The following is a 16821-nucleotide window of genomic DNA, read 5'->3' as shown; positions in this document are numbered from 1 at the left end:
TTCACCCCTCACATTAACTTTATGAGGCAGGTACTACAACCTCCAAACAGAACAAGAAACTGCTACACAGAGAAGTTAAGTAGGCAGCAAGATCATAAGTTCAGCCAAGATTCAAGCTCACATCCAGGAAGCTTTCCCCTCCCAGAAAGACTAGGGCAATACAAAATGTAATTCTCTCTACTATTCGGGATGATTACAAATACTAAATCTCTCCATCAATGTTTCCCAACTCAGTCTCATTCCAGATGGGAACCTTTTTACATTCACAAGCTGTTTAAGCTATACTTTTCTTTAAAAAACTTAGTATGTGGCCGGGCATGGTGGCTCACACCTGTAATCCCAGCACTTCGGGAGGCCGAGGCAGGCAGATTGCCTGAGGTCAGCAGTTTGTGACCAGCCTCGCCAACATGGTGAAACCCCATCTCTACTAAAAATACAAAAATTAGCTGGGTGTGGTGGCACACGCTTGTAGTCTCAGCTACTCCGGAGGCTGAGGCAAGAGAATTGCTTAAACCCGGGAGGCGGAAGAGATTGCAGTGAGCTAAGATCACGCCACTGCACTCCAGCCTGGGCGACAGAGCGAGACTCCGTCTCAAAAACAAACAAACAAACAAAAACTTAGTATGCAAAAATGGGCAATTCTCCTTTATGGAATCGGACCCTACCAACTCTTTTAAAATCTTCTTTAGTTACACAGGGTAAAGAAATGTCCCATTCTTACAGGTCAGAATCAGCTAAAGGATAGCTCTTCAGGGCAAGGAACTGAAGACACTCAATTACGTTTAGAATCCCACACTGAGGTCAGCAGCTAGCCATATTGCTGGGCAAACTGTCAATCTCAAGATTTCAATCTAAAGAAGGATCCTGTCAAAATCTCTAATAAATGTGACTCAGGGAGGTGAAACCCTAGCACAAAATCTGAGAAAAACAGTTTCTACAGAGCCATAATTCCATTAGACGAAAAACACAAATAGTCATACTTTGTGGCTTTGCTTAGAGTGGTGCTGAAACATACTGTTTGACTTATGAATGATTCCTTTTTTAAAAGCCTGGTCCTTTTTTAAAAACAGACAGCACAGTCCTAGAGCAACACCTTCACTTTTGAGGAGGAGGTTGTGATCAAGACTCAGCAGGAATCCCATGTACAGGAGAGAACAGAAAAGTCATAAGCAAGGACCACAGAAAGAGACCTAGGCTAGACTATGGAACTCTCCCTGATGAGCAACTGTGTCAATAACACTATGAAGAAGGCAATAATACACAGTGAACAGCATTCAGCCAGCTTTAGGTAAGGCTATAGGATAATGCAGAGGCTTTTATGTCACTTCTGCCCATCACTCTGTGATCACATCCAGATGACTGATGATCTTTACCTCTTATAAATATATAAAAACAGGCCGGGCGCGGTGGCTCACGCCTGTAATCCCAGCACTTTGGGAGGCCGAGGCGGGTGGATCATGAGGTCAGGAGATCGAGACCATCCTGGCTAACAAGGTGAAACCCCGTCTCTACTAAAAATACAAAAAATTAGCCGGGCGCGGTGGCGGGCGCCTGTAGTCCCAGCTACTCGGGAGGCTGAGGCAGGAGAATGGCGTGAACCCGGGAAGCGGAGCTTGCAGTGAGCCGAGATTGCGCCACTGCAGTCCGCAGTCCAACCTGGGAGACAGAGCGAGACTCCGTCTCAAAAAAAAAAAAAAATAAATAAATAAATAAATATATAAAAACAAAACTGCTTCAAGTTTTAAAAAGCAAGTTAACTGACAAAGAGTACAAAAATCGTGAAGTGTCCTATTGGATTGTCAGTTGCATTTCAAAGTACAAACAGGAAAAATACCAAGGTAAAAAAACAAATCTCCTGCCCCAACATAAAGCACTAAACAGTGTCAACGCCTATATGTCAACATGGGGGGTTGAAACAAAGATTCAGACCTCTGTCCTCTAAAGGCAGTATTTTCCAGTGTTAAAGTGGTTGTGAATCAAAAGCAAAATGCAAAAATCCACAAACCTTGGACCCCAGTCAAGGAGGCAGCTGGGACACTGGCCACTTGGGGTCTGGTGTATAGTATGGGGGCAGGAATACTGTTGCTCATTGCTCTCCATTGCTCCCTACTCACTTACATAAACTCTGAAGCCTGACCTTGGGACACCTCTTAGACAACCCCTCAACTTTCTCTAAAATGTCAGGACAAAGCCCTGCTGATCACATCATCCCTCTGAGTTTCACTTTAGTGGAGTGAATTTTAGGTTTCCTTGACATAACTGCTAAGAGACTGAAAAAAATAACTGTGCCCTTCATCTTCATGGAGCTCTGTAGTAAAGAATTTAGAAACAAAATCTCATCATGTGATAAGTCTTTGAAAGTCAACTTATTCAACTGTCCACTTAGTAAGACTCACTTCCCACAGATCTTGGACTGACAGTTATCTATATTCTGCCTACACAGCTTTAGTGAAGGAGACTACAGAGCAGCCTACACAATGCTACCTGCTGCAGAGGCACCAGAATAGGATTGGCACTGGTTTGAATGCCCTCTCTGACATGTACTTAGCTGTGTGACCTGGCAAAGTTCATTTCTCTAAGACTCATTTTATCTAAAAATGGGATAAAAATGGTTTATAGTAGTAGTTAACAGCCTGGGCTGTAGAGTTGAACTGCCTGCATCTGCCACCTACTAGTTGTTTAAACTTGGGCAAGTTTAATCTCTGTAGGGTTTTCTCATCTACAAAATGGCAACAAAAGTATCTACCTCATACAATTTTCTGATCATTACAGGAGGTATGTGTCAAGTTCCTGGAATACCTACTAGCATATAGTAAGCACTCCATAAACATTAATTGTTACATTTATTATTTTCTGCCGGAAGGCTGTTACATGCTTTATGGAACATGGTATGTTTAAAGCTATTAGCATAATGCCTGCCATAGAGTTGAGAGCTTCATGATGTTGGCAATTATTATCATTACTATCTGTCATCTTCACCTTTTGGTTTTAGTTTAGCCTACTGGAGCCACAGAGATCAAATCTGTTCCCTCTTCATTCTGAATGTCCCTCAAATATTTAAAGAAACCCACCACATCATTCCACAGATTTCTCTTTTAAAGGCCAAACTATACAGACACTAACAAAGAGAAGACAAACAAGAAGGCATGGTTCTCAGACCTTCTGACATCCTGATCAGCTGCATCTAGGGATGCTGCAGTTTGTGACCCTCTCAAAACATGGCACCACCAAACACCAGCTATGATCTGACCAATAAAAATTCCATGGAATATACCTGGGTTATGAAGTAATCTGCACAACAAACCCCCATGACACATGGTTACCTATGTAACAAACCTGCACTTGTATCCTGAACTTAAAAGTTTAAAAATAAAAAATAAAAACAATTTTAAAAAGAGGCCTGGTGTGATGGCTCACGCCTATAATCCCAGCACTTTGGAAGGCCGAGGTGGCGGATCACCTGAGGTCAGGAGTTCAAGACCAGCCTGCCCAACATAATGAAACCTCGTCTCTACTAAAAATACAAAAATTAGCCAGGCGTTGGCGCGGTGGCTCACGCCTGTAATCCCAGCAGTTTGGGAGGCTGAAGCAGGCAGATCACAAGGTCAGGAGTTCGAGACCAGCCTGACTGACGTGGTGAAACCCAGTCTCTACTAAAAATACAAAAATTAGCCGGGCGTGGTGGTGGGTGCCTGTAATCCCAGCTACTCGGGAGGCTGAGGAAGGAAAATCACATGAACCCAGGAGGCGGAGGTTGCAGTGAGCCGAGATCACACCACTGCACTCCAGCCTGGGCGACACAGGGAGACTCTGTCTCAAAAAAAAAAAAAAAAAATGTAGCTGGGCATGGTGGTAGGCACCTGTAGTCCCAGCTACTTGGGAGCTGAAGTAGGAGAACTGCTTGAATCTGGGAGACAGAGGTTACAGTGAGCCAAGATAACACCACTGCACTCCAGCCTGGGCAACAGAGCGAGACTCGGTCTCTAAAAAAAAATCAAAAAAAAAAACAAAACGGAATTTAATGCAACTATCAATTCCCATGACCTAGATACATGATGAGTACCCCTCATCCAAAATGGTTGGGACCAGAAGTATTTCAGATCTTGGAATATTTGCATTATATACTTACCAGTTCAGCATCCCTAATCTGAAATCCAAAATGCTCCAATGAGCATTTCCATTGGGCATTACGATGGCACTCAAAAAGTTTCCAGTATTGGAGCATTTCAATTAGGGATACTCAACCTGTACTATAACTAACTAGTTTCCACAACCTGGGTATTAGAGTTATTAATGTAAGCTAAGTATGTATTGGCATTTTGAGTAACTCCATCACACTGTTACAAAATATCAACATTCTAAGAACTAAAATACACACATTTTTCCCCACTTACTGCTACTCAAATGGAAAGATAAATCTCTACATATATCTTGTATTACTTAATTCAGCTCTTTAATCTAAATCTAAACATTTGTTTTTAATCCCTCTTCAACCCTGATTTAGGATATCTACTAGAGTTCTGAAATGAGTAGACCTGCCTAAATCTGTTGTAGTTTTCCACTTTAATCAGAGGACATGGCAGTACTAAAAATGACATGATCTTCCTTCCCCCAATGTATAGTAGTGATCCAACTTCCCTTTGATAGTCAAAATCAACAGAAAGTAGGTAAGTATCCCCATTACATCTTTAGCCATATCACAAACAAAAATCTGTCACCAGCATGGGGCTAGTGGCAGAGTCCTGTGTCATTTCACTCAAAAGCTTTATCCAAGTTAACGTGATTTTAGCCATGTACTCAAGAAAGAATGTGCAATAAATTAATTGTTGAAGCTGGGTGATGGGAACGTAGGGGCTCTTTATACTATTTTCTCTACTTTACGTATATTTGAAAATTTACACAATAAGAGATAAAAAATAAGGACGTATACAAAAAATAAGGATGTAAAAAAAAGAAGAAACAAAGAGTTAAAAGTGTGCCTTTGGAGAGCAAGACTGAAATACAGGAAGGAACTGGGAAGAATTATCTTTCCCTTTAAGCTTTAGCACTTTTTGATGTTTTATATACATGCATATACTATTTTCATAAAAATAAAAAGAAGGGGGAAAAAGGAAGCACATCAAGAAAAACTCAACCTCTCCCAAAATCACCATGGACACAGAATGTTTTTAATGTCATCAAATGATATCTACTGCAACAAAATCTGAGACTTCATTTGGACAAAAAATATTTAACACAGATGATAAAAACTATGTATGTACGCATTTGTATCCATAAAGTATAATCTGTCTACATCTTAAATTGACTTTAAGTGTAAAATATTCTTTACAAAAAACTTCTAGAAAACAAATCTCCTGGAGATTGCCTGACCCTTACTTATCAAGTACATTTAATCTTATAATTCAAATGGTACTATACATTAAGTGTTAGTATAATCTTTGAAAATAAAGGATATCTAAATATTTTCATTATACTTGTTTATAAAACCTACTTGGTAAGTGATTGAGCTTTCTGTTGTAGAAAAGTATCCCTGTGTATTTTAATGGCTTGAAGACTTTTTCTGTCTAGCAGTTTGGCAGCTGCTGGTATTTTCTGGATCAGAAAATTATCAGGAAACCAAATAATATTAGCAGTTAGAGTGATGGCTGGTACCTGAAACAGAAAAGGGAAAAGGGGAAAATTCATTAAATGCAGGCTAAACAACAAGCTGTTTAAAAGTTCTATAATACACATGGAAGACAACTGATTTCAAGAAAAAATAACCACAAAAAATACTTATTAATATATTATGAGACAAATATCTTTCACTGTGGCAGAGTTAAGGCATTTCTACATCTGGTGTTGAGCATGACAATTTTATTCACCTGAATATTAAATAACACACACACAAAACACCCTTTCATGGACTGTCAGATAAAAAAATGCAACAATAGAAACTTGAATCTTCATGTCTTTTAGTTTCATTCTATTTAAGTACATAAGTTTTTTAAAAAATTGGCTGGGTTATCATAGTTACTATCACTTGATGTTACACACAAACTAATCTTTCAATTTTGAAATCAGATACCACATTATGAAAATAGCAAAGACATAGAAAGAAATATATTTTAAATTTCTTCATCTTCAGTAATGAAAATCAGTGGCAAAGAAAAGGAAAAGAAAAAAGTAGTATTAGTAGCACTAAGAGAAGTTGTACAGGAACAAATCTGAACACCATCTACCAATATGTAGTAATATGATGTAGAAATACGACGTATTTTCATTCACTAAGTTACTTATTTCTGGAATACTTGAATTTTACAAGTGAATACTTTTAAATTATTTTTGTAAACAGGAATAAAATGCATTTTAAAATATTTAGTTTTATCTGCAATCTTTTTAATCTGCTCAAATTGAAAAATAAGTTTCAAGTTCTTACCTTCTTACAAATGTCCAATAAAGACTTATAAAACTTTTTATCAATAGTTCGAAAAATCTGAAAGTGCAATACAAAGAGTCCACAAATTCCAACATACTTGTCTCTCTGGTCAATTTCAGAAGGTTCTCCTTACAAATCAATAACATAAGAGAAAGCAGAACAAATATACTTCAATTATGCTTTTAAGGAAATGCAAATTTTATAAACAAAAACCAAAAAATGCGATTTACATTACCAAGTTTGGCTTCTACATTTGCAAAAATTGACCGAATACTATGTGCAAATTCCTCAGCAAAAGTACTATTTTTTGACACAGATACTCCTCCATTGAGAGAATCAAATTGTTGTTCTATACAGGCCTAGACAGGAAACATTGAAAGAGAAATTCAGACTCTCAATAATAAACGATTAAACATTTAAATATCATACACTAAATACAGTGTATGATAAATTTCTATATTCATCATTTAAATTTTACTAAAACTAAAGCTCAGGTTCTTAATCTAATCTAATATTTAGATCTTTGTGAATGAAAAATATATATGTATTTATATATTTGGGTACTAGTTATGTGAAAGTAATAAAATTGAACCCAAATCTATAATCCTGTATAAAGAGATACACACGATGTTCAGAGATGTATAAAAGATAAAGCATATTTTTTATTTTACTTTGCACTTTTAAGAGTAGAATTTATGTTTTCTGCTTACAATTACTTTCCTAGCACTTTATTATAGCATGTATAGAAATGTCTCCTGGAAAAAGAATCAATAACAAAAAAATTATCTTCTTAACCTAATGAACTAACATTTAAATTGATATATAGTTGACGCTTAAACATAAAGTTAGGGACACTGACCCTCGTGCAGTCAAAAATCTTCATATAACTTTTGTCTACCCAAAAACTTAACTAGTAATAGCACACTGTTGACCAAAAGCCTTATGGATAACATAAGTCAATTAACACATAAATAGATTAGTATCTACATATATTTTATGCATTCATGACATACCTAACTTTTCCTCAAGTTTTTTTAATATTTCTAGGCTATGCCATTTGTCTGCAAGTTTTTTTCAAAAGTGTTGCTAATGTTCAAAAAATTTTCTAATACATTTATTGAAAAACAATCTGTATATAAGTGGACCCGTGCACACTTCAAAAGCATGTTATTCAAAGGGTCAACTGTAAACAAGAGTTGAGATCAATCGGTTAAAAACTGTGATCATGTAAAACATAAACTAAAGGTAACCTTGAAGTATATTATAAATGGAATATAATGCAATTTCGAGTGGAACCTGCTTAAAGCAGCGCTCTCCAACAGAACTTTCTGTGATGATGGAAATATTCTGTATCTGTGCTGTCTGATATAACTAGTCATTAACTATATGTGGCTATTAAGGACTTGAAATGTGGCTAGCGTGAGTAAAAAAGTGAATTTTGTATTTCATTTTAATTTATTTACATTTAAATAGCCACATGTAGTTAGAAGCTACCATACTAGACTGTGCAAACCCAAATTACATTCCCTGGGCCTAGGAAGAATTAAACAGACTTGTTAAGGGTTGTCTTAAAAACCTTAACCTGGCCGGGCATGGTGGCTCATGCCTGTAATCCCAGGACTTTGGGAGGCTGAGGTGGGCAGATCACGAGGTCAGGAGTTCGAGACCAGCCTGGCCAACATGGTGAAACCTCGTCTCTACTAAAAATACAAAAATTAGCTGAGTGCAGTGGTGGACGCCTGTAATCCCAGCTACTCGGGAGGCTGAGGCAGGAGAATCATTTGAACCCAGGAGGCGGAGGTTGCAGTGAGCAAAGATTACGCCACTGCACTCCAGCCTGGGTGACAGGGCAAGACTCCATCTCAAAAACAAAAACAAAACCAAAAAAAACCTAAACCTAGAGGTTAACAGCAAACACAATACAGGCACACCTCACAGAAACCATAGGTTCAGTTCCCAACCAGCACAAAAACATGAGTGACACCAATTTCCAAGGTGGGCAGATCACCTGAGGTCGGGAGTTCAAGACCAGCCTGACCAACATGGAGAAACCCCATCTCTACTAAAAATACAAAATTAGCTGGGCATGGTAGTAGATGCCTTTAATCCCAGCTACTCGGGAGGCTGAGGCAGGAGAATTGCTTGAACCCGTGAGGCAGAGGTTGTGGTGAGCCGAGATAGCTCCACTGCACTCCAGCCTGGGCAACAAGAGTGAAAGTCCGTCTCGAAAAAAAAAAAAAAAAAGTTATATTTACACTATACTATAGTATATTAAGTATGCAATAGCATTATGTCTAAAAAAAAGTATATTAATTAAAAAACACTTTATTGCTAAAAATGCTAACATTTGAGCCTTCAGTGAGCTATCATCTTTTTGCTGGCCAAGGGTCTTGCCTCAATGTTGATATGCTGTCATCAGGCTTTGTTGTTCCACTTACAGAGAACAGGCAGAGTAGAGTAATATAATTTTTAAGGGCCCTAAGATTTTCAGAATGGCAAATGGGCACTGGCTTTCTTTGAAGCCAGGAATTGACTTTTCCTCTATGAAAGATGTAGGTGGCATCTTCCAATAGAAGGCTGTTACATCTACACTGAAAAATCTGTTGCTAAGTGTGGCCACCTCTATCAGTGATTTTAGCCAGATCTTCTGGATAACTTACTGGCTTCTACATGAGCACTTGCTGCTTTTGCACTTTAATGTTATGGAGACAGCTTCCTTCCTTAAACCTCATAAACCAACCTGTGCTAGGTTCAAATTTTTCTTCTACAGCTTCCCCACCTCTCTTAGCCTTCAGAGAATTAAAGAGAGTTACAGCCTTGCTCTGGATTAGGCTTTGGCTTAAACTAATGTTGCGGTTGGTTTGATTTTCAATTCAGTCCAACAAAACTTTCTCCATATGAGCAGTAATGCTGTTTCACTTTCTTATCATCTGTGTGTTCACAGCATTTTAATTTCCTTCAAAATTTTTCCTTTGCATTCACACGTTGGCTAGCTAGTCACAGCAAGAGGCCTAACTTTCAGCCTATCTCTGCTTTCCCCACCCCCCTAAAAGATGGAGTCTCCCTCGTCGCCCAAGCTGGAGTGCAATGGCGTGATCCTGACTCACTGCAACCTCTGCCTCCCAGGTTCAAGCGATTCTCCTGCCTCAGCTTCCCGAGTAGCTGGGATTACAAGCGCTTGCCCTAACACCTTACTAATTTTTGCATTTTTAGTAGAGAGAAGGTTTCACCATCTTGGCCAGGCTGGTCTTGAACTCCTGACCTCACGTGATCTGCGTGCCTGGCCTCCCAAAGTGCTGGGATTACAGGCATGAGCCACCGCGCCCGGCCCTATCTCTACTTTTGATATGACTTCCTAGCTAAGCTTAACCATGTCTAGCTTTTGATTAAGAGACATGAAACTCTTCTTTTCGTTTGAACACTTAGAGGCCACTGTAGGGCTATTAATTGGCCTAATTTCAATATGGTTGTGTCTCAGAGAATAAAAAGGCTTGAAGAGAGGGAGAAAGGACAAGAGCTAGCCAGTTGATAAAGCAGTCAGAACACACACAACATTTATCGATTAAGTTCATCATCTTACAGGGGCACTATTTGTAGCACCCCAGAACAATTACAATAGTAACATCAGAAACCACTGATCACCATAACAGCTATAATAATAATGAAAAAGTTTAAAATATTGCAAGAATTACCAAAATGTGACACAGAGACAAAGTGAACACATGCTGTTGGAAAAATGACGATGAAAGACTTGCTTGATGCAGGATTGCCACAAACCTTTAATTTGTAGAAAATGCAATTACCTGGGAAATGCAATAAAGCGAAATGCAATAAAACAAGATATGCCTATACCTAACTACTAAGATTAGATGTTAATCCTCAAATATTTTTATCCATTTACATAATTTTTCTAAAACTCTTGCTCCAAATACAACTAATATACTATTCATTTTGTTGGCTACTAGATACAGAAATATTTTAGTACTGTAACAATAATTTTAAGCCAAAGCACTTTTTAAAGAAAATTATATTCAACAGTATATTATAAAAGTGTCCTACTATAATTCTGAGCTTTGTCGTCTAATATGAGCCCCACTGTTACAGTCTGATACAGACCTACTTACCTGGAATATCATTCCATCCAGTAATTGCCCTTCTAGCTTCAGCAAGAACTTTTCAAATGGCTTTAATTTTTCTTCCTGAATTCCAAATTTTGAAGGATTGTGATGGACAGATTTCAGTAACCTTGAGGAAAATTAAGAGAAACATCTTAAATCTACCTAATAAATTCTTAAATTAAAAATTAAAAATTTTCCTGGAAGTCAAAATTTTATATTTATATTTCTTGTTTGGCTCTACACATTTGAAAATTTGAACACAACAATCCTAATAGATTTTCTTACGCTTTTTAATATCATCTTCAATCAAAATGCCTCATAATCTGTACATACCAGACATTTAATAAGTACTCAGAACATGAATAAAATAAACCATGGTCTAAAAAAAATTCAGGGTATACAATAAAATAAAACCAAGCTCAGGAAAGAAAAACTGTCGGGCTGGGCATGGTGGCTCACACCTGTAATCCCAGCACTTTGGGAGGCCAAGGCGGGCGGATCATGAGGTCAAGAGATGGAGACCATCCTGGCCAACATGGTGAAACGCCGTCTCTACTAAAAATACAAAAGTTAGCTGGGCATGGTGGCACACGCCTGTAGTCCCAGCTACTTGGGAGGCTGAGGTAGGAGAATCACTTGAACCCAGGAGGCAGAAGTTGCAGTGAGCCGAGATCACGCCACTGCACTCCAGCCTGGCAACACAGTGAGACTCTGTCTCAACAAAGAAAAAGAAGAAAAAACTGTCACCTGAATAGAACCCAAGGAAAACAATAAATCTGAGTCCTAAGCTAGGCAAATTAACTTTCTACTACTATAAGAATTAGGATGCTTTATACAGATGTATTATACTCGTCCCAACAAACTCATGTGAAATTAAAGAATGGTTACTGTAGTCATAAAAATATTTGATATGAGCTCCTTCTAAATATCAATCCCCAGGTCTTTTAGAAAATCTGTATTATTTATATCTGTTTACTTTTTACTAACACAAATACATTAACCAAAGTAAGAAACATTTTAAAATATTTTAATTGGTGTACCTTTTGTACATAGTCCAGTGGTCTTTCAGTGTGATATGATTATCAATAATTTCATCCAGGGTGAGCAAAACTGTTAGCAGTTCTCCCAAGTGCTCATACATAGTCTGTCAAAAAACCTTTAATGATTATCATTTAGTCACTAGTTAGAAGTTAAGCCTCATGTAGACGTTTAAAGTAAAATCATTTGGGCTGATTACTGAATTAGTAAAAGTAGTGGGTAAATCAATTTATTCAGCTACAGGTTGGATCCTCAGAAAGGACTATTTGTCTTTTAGTCTTAAATAGAGAATACTTTTCTCTTTTTAAGATGAACAAAATTTCATCCTTAGTTGCAATACTGCAGATTTATTTCACTGTCCAAAGACATCATTTAGAGAATCTGCATTACGGCACTACTGGGAAAAACTAAGTTACACTGATAATGGTCAATAATGACTCATCAACTTCACAGATGAAAGAGAACAAATGCAAACACACACAAACACACACACACACACACGCCTCTTTAAGAGTGTTCCTATGACTGTCATACTCTCCAACCATACAAACTCCAAAGTAAAATATAGTAATAATTACAGTTTTACAGGTCAAGCTAAATGTCTTTTACCTGAAAATGAACTCCAGTTGTCTCTATAATTTTGGGTGCAATCCTATAATAAAATAACAACCAAGTTAAAAAAAACTTCCTTTTTGTCATAGTTTATTCTTATTTCAAATACATACAGGAGCAGATGATCTTGGAATTTTAATATTTATCTTTATTAAGGCTCTAGTTATTTAAAATTTAAGAGCGTCAAGTCCACTTTCCCAAGAAGAGAACTACTTTGTGCATACTATTAGGATGGTGCAAAAGTAACTGTGATACAAAAACAGCAATAATTCTTGCACCAACCTAATAGTATTCTTGCCTATATCCCACTCATGGGTAGGGCTATGATGATAGGTGACCTATGAATAACCTTACCCATTGAAACCCAAATGATTTATCTTGGAATAAAGGTAGAGAAATATTAAAAGTGGTATTCATATCTTTCTAAACTATTAGAATTTCTCAATTACCAACTAGAATTTTTGTTATCCTATCCAAACTGGTCTTTGTCTTTTGTTTTTTTGTTTTGTTTTGTTTTTCCTTTTTGTGGAGAAGGGGGTCTCGCTATATTGCCCAGGCAGGTCTCGAACTCCTGGGCTCAAGCTATCCTCCCGCCTCTTGCCTCCCTGAGAGCTGGGATTACAGGCATGAGCCACCGCGCCCAGCCTCCAAACTGGTCTTTAGGAATCAGTCCTCTCTTCAGTTGGGTTTGAGTTCTCATCCCTACTGAAAAACAGTGCATACTACTAGAATTATACCAAAGTCAAAAGTCAAAGAAAAATTCACTTCTACCTCCTACTCATTTTGCTCAACAAGTTTTAAATAGTGCTTATAATATTAAAGCACATATAGATATTCCACAAGATAGAATGCATATTTTAAATTTAAACACAAAATTCAAATAAATTTCATCCTTCTAGGGCAGGGGTAGGATGAGGGGGAGTCTTCTTAGAACTACCCATCAGGTACTGCAGCGGGTATGGAAGCTATACTCTCATTCTCTCCTGCCATGAGAGCTTTAGTGAAAAGACAGAACATAAAATAAATACCTAACTGAGGGGGAAAATGGGAGAATAAGAAACAGTTAACACTCCAGTATAAAGAGTTTATATGCAGCATGGTATAGTAAGAACAATGAATGTGCTGGTGACCAAAAGAACAGTGCCAAAATTGCTCTTGTTATCTCTTCCAGGTATCAGTTATCTCTTCTCATCATTAATAATCCCTAGACATAGAGCTAAACAAAGTTAATGTATTAATTAGATTGTAAGTGTGGAAAAAAAATTTTAAGTATAAAGAACTAATCAAATGAGATATTATTTTGTGGTAAAACTGCAAGAGCTCTATGAAAATGTGATCGTTTTTCTTGATTTAGGGTAATGGTCCAGCAGCAGCCAGGCAGTATCACCTCCTCAGTGGCACGAGCACCAATTCCATGAGGCTTCTTCTCCAAGCTCCCAGATTCTGGTAACCTCAATCTTTTCCTTTCTGTTTTCTGGATGGAGAGGTGGTATCTGTTTCCTCCGGATGAACTCACTGTTCTCTTTGTCCTTTCAGCCCTCCAACTCCCATGTAACCAATTCTCCATATTAAATTCCCTTTTTTAATTTAAATAAATTTTACTGTGTATATTTAAGGTATATTTTACTGGGTATATTTACGACCATTAGAACTACTCACAAAATTTCTTCAATGTAGATTCCCTAGCTCCATCCCTCAAGATTCTGTAGTCTAAGAAAAGTCTCAAGTGACTCCATTAGAGTCAGGCAACCATTCGTGTAGAGGAAAGGAATAAAGAGAGAGAACACAGAACATGTACTAATTCCATGTTAGCCTTCTTCTATATGGTCAAATTTCTTGAAGATTGTTCTGTAGACACTGTCATTCAGACAGATAATGGGTTCGCTCACCATGGTGGAAACTGCATCTTACTAACCTACGTATGATACACATCAAGTAGTGTTTGAAATATCATAAGTGTTCAAAGAATGCTGAATGAAAGAAAAACTATTACAAGTTATTAATTTTAGAAAGAACATTTTCTGCATCTCTATTATAAAAGCAAAAATATTTCTAAAATCCATTACTTGTTACTGATATAGAGGGCAGCCAACTGGTGGACTACGTTCATCACCACTTCATAGCACCTCGTAACAAAGCAAGACAGTTCCTGAAACGAGAAGGTGGGTATATATTATAAAGTTACTCTTTAAATCTCACCATTTTTTACTGAATTTTATGGTAACAACTCTAACAAAAACAAAACAGTTTTCCAATAAAGCCTCCAGTTAACCAAAAGCCAGACAAGTTCAAGCATCCCTCAAGCAATCAATACTTAACTCACCTCCTGTACTCCAGGGTCGTTCCTATCTCTTTGTTCCCACTGCATTTCATTCATACTCCTATTTCAAGTCTAATATTGTAGTTACTTATATAACTCCTAAATGATAGGTGCTGTCTCATTCCTTCTTTGAATATCCACTGCCTAGCATAGTGACTAACACTCAACTGCTTCTCAATAAATTTCTACCCTATTACATGAATAAACATCTGAGTGAGTGAAGGAGCTCAAAAGCTGCCAGTATAGAAAGTACAACTATGGCAGGAAGGGGTTTCCAGAAGTCACTGTAAAATAACTTCAAACACTGATCACCTGTAATCGTATGTATAAGCAGGCTTGGCACACAGCAAGTGAAATGTCGTATCACTTATCCTAGGGATATGTTTGTCATTAAATAATTAGCTCATATCTAACATATCCTAGACTTTCTGAAAATCCATTTTCAGAAGCTCTCAACTTTTAAACCTATAGAAACAGTGTGTATCTGAAGTATTTAAAACCTAATTAAAACTATGCTGATCTAAATTTTAAGCTCTATGAGAACAGGAATTTCTGTTGGTGTTGTGCATTGCTATATCACCAGCACCAATAACAGTTTCTAGCATATACTAGGCTTACAAAACATATTTGTTGAATGTTTAAAAACGGAATTTTTATGCAGCTGTGAGATCTAAATATGATGTAAAGTATTTTTTAAAATGAAAATAAATAACGCATTTTATTTTTAAATAGTTATAGTTTTACATGTCCTATTAAACTTCTAGAAGTTTAAAAAAAGCAGAGAAAATGTAGGACAAACAGAAAGAACAAAGTAAAAAGGCAGAAACAAGCCCAGATATACATACAGACTATATAAGATAGACCTAGAAACAGAATAAATTAAGCGATTAAAAAACAGGTATTGTCAGACTACATTAAAAAAGCAAAATTTAGATATATGTGGTTTTAAATAAACCCAACTAAAACATGACACTGAAAGGCTGCCAGAATGGAAAAAGATAAATCAAGAAAATGTTAACTAAAACGGAGCCAGGGCAGCATTATTATTATACTGTCAGACAAAACAGACTTGATTAGCATCAGTACAGTAAATTGCTATGCATGTAAAATACATATACATAATCATATACACATAATCATGATCATAGCTAAGGAAGGTCACAAATGATGATAAAAGATTCAATTTACCAGGAATGATTAACAATTCTAAACTTGTACACACTGAATAAAATACCCTCAAAATGAAAAATGCAAAGTTTCCACATTTACTGGGACCTTACCAACTACATTTTTTAGACACCTTGCTGGAAAAGAAGCCAGCAGCAGATAGGCAGTGCCACCTCAGCATAGGCATCAGTTTCATGGGGCTTCTTCTCCAAGCTCCCAGATCCTGGCAATCCCAATCTTTATCCTTTTTGTTCTCTGGATGTAAAGGAGGTATCTGTTTCCTTTGGACTACACCTCAGTATTTTCTTTGTCCTCCAACTCCTGGGTAACCAATTCTCTATATTGAATCCCCTCTCTTCTTATTTAAATACATTTTATTGTGTATATTTAAGGTATACAACATGTTATGGGATACATACCGATAATAAAAAGGTTACTATAGTCAAGTGCAAATCCATCATCTCACATAGCTAACCCATTTTTTTGTAGCAAAAGCAGCTAAAATCTACTCAGCATGAATGCCATATACGGTATTTTATTACCTGTAATCTTCATGTTGTACATCAGATCTCTAGACTTACTCATCTTACATATCTGCTACTTTGTATCCTCCAAACTACATCTTTTGAAATACCTTGTATGGAGTTTTCTAGACAGGACCCTGAATAACACATATCACAATATGAACAAAATGCTCTCAATTAGATCAATTAGACCAAAAAAAGTAGTAAAGATATAAAAGATTTGAACAGTATGTTAGCATGCCTAATTTGATGAAATATATCAAATCTTGTACTCAACAACAGAAAGGAGGTGGGACTATGGGTATTTTTTCCTTAGCTTCAATTTTTGCTTTTTCACATCGTACATGCACTATTTTTATCACAGAGGAGGAAATAGAAGCCATTTTATTCTTTTGATAAGAGTAAACCAAAGGACCTACAATCATTAAAACTGGCAGTGATGAGAAGCTATCTAAACTGAAACAAGCTGTTAGAAGCATGGAGGGCTACCGCTTTAAACAACTTCATCATTGCTCATGTAATAGCTTAATTCTCTCCTATCCGTTAACAACTTTTCCTGATACAATTTATCTTTTCCAGTGGGTACAAAGTTTAAATTATTTTAAAAGGCATGGTGACAAGTTG

At 37.0% G+C, this 16821-nt stretch overlaps 1 protein-coding gene across 8 annotated transcripts in view; it reads right to left on the bottom strand.

The window, feature by feature from the left end:
* WASHC4 (WASH complex subunit 4) overlaps positions 1 to 16821 on the bottom strand; it is a 61400-nt gene that overhangs the window by 36350 nt on the left and 8229 nt on the right. For 7 of the 8 annotated variants that reach the window (XR_007063060.1, NM_001293640.2, NM_015275.3 and 4 more), the window contains exons 7-13: positions 14253 to 14335; positions 12184 to 12226; positions 11577 to 11680; positions 10543 to 10663; positions 6654 to 6777; positions 6419 to 6546; positions 5492 to 5652 (exon numbers count right to left, since the gene is read on the bottom strand). Coding sequence is in view for 7 of the 8 variants with exons in the window: in NM_001293640.2 (NP_001280569.1) it covers positions 5492 to 5652; positions 6419 to 6546; positions 6654 to 6777; positions 10543 to 10663; positions 11577 to 11680; positions 12184 to 12226; positions 14253 to 14335 (764 nt within the window). In the remaining variant the exon portion in view is untranslated. Of the gene's footprint in view, positions 1 to 5491; positions 5653 to 6418; positions 6547 to 6653; positions 6778 to 10542; positions 10664 to 11576; positions 11693 to 12183; positions 12227 to 14252; positions 14336 to 16821 lie in introns of those variants that run through there. The other variant, XM_011538074.3, reaches the window with a different exon arrangement.

Source organism: Homo sapiens, chromosome 12 (genome assembly GCF_000001405.40).
Source record: "Homo sapiens chromosome 12, GRCh38.p14 Primary Assembly".
Taxonomy (NCBI): domain Eukaryota; kingdom Metazoa; phylum Chordata; class Mammalia; order Primates; family Hominidae; genus Homo; species Homo sapiens.
The sequence above is the reverse complement of the archived record's forward strand: the minus strand, read 5'-3'. Positions and strand labels throughout refer to the sequence as shown.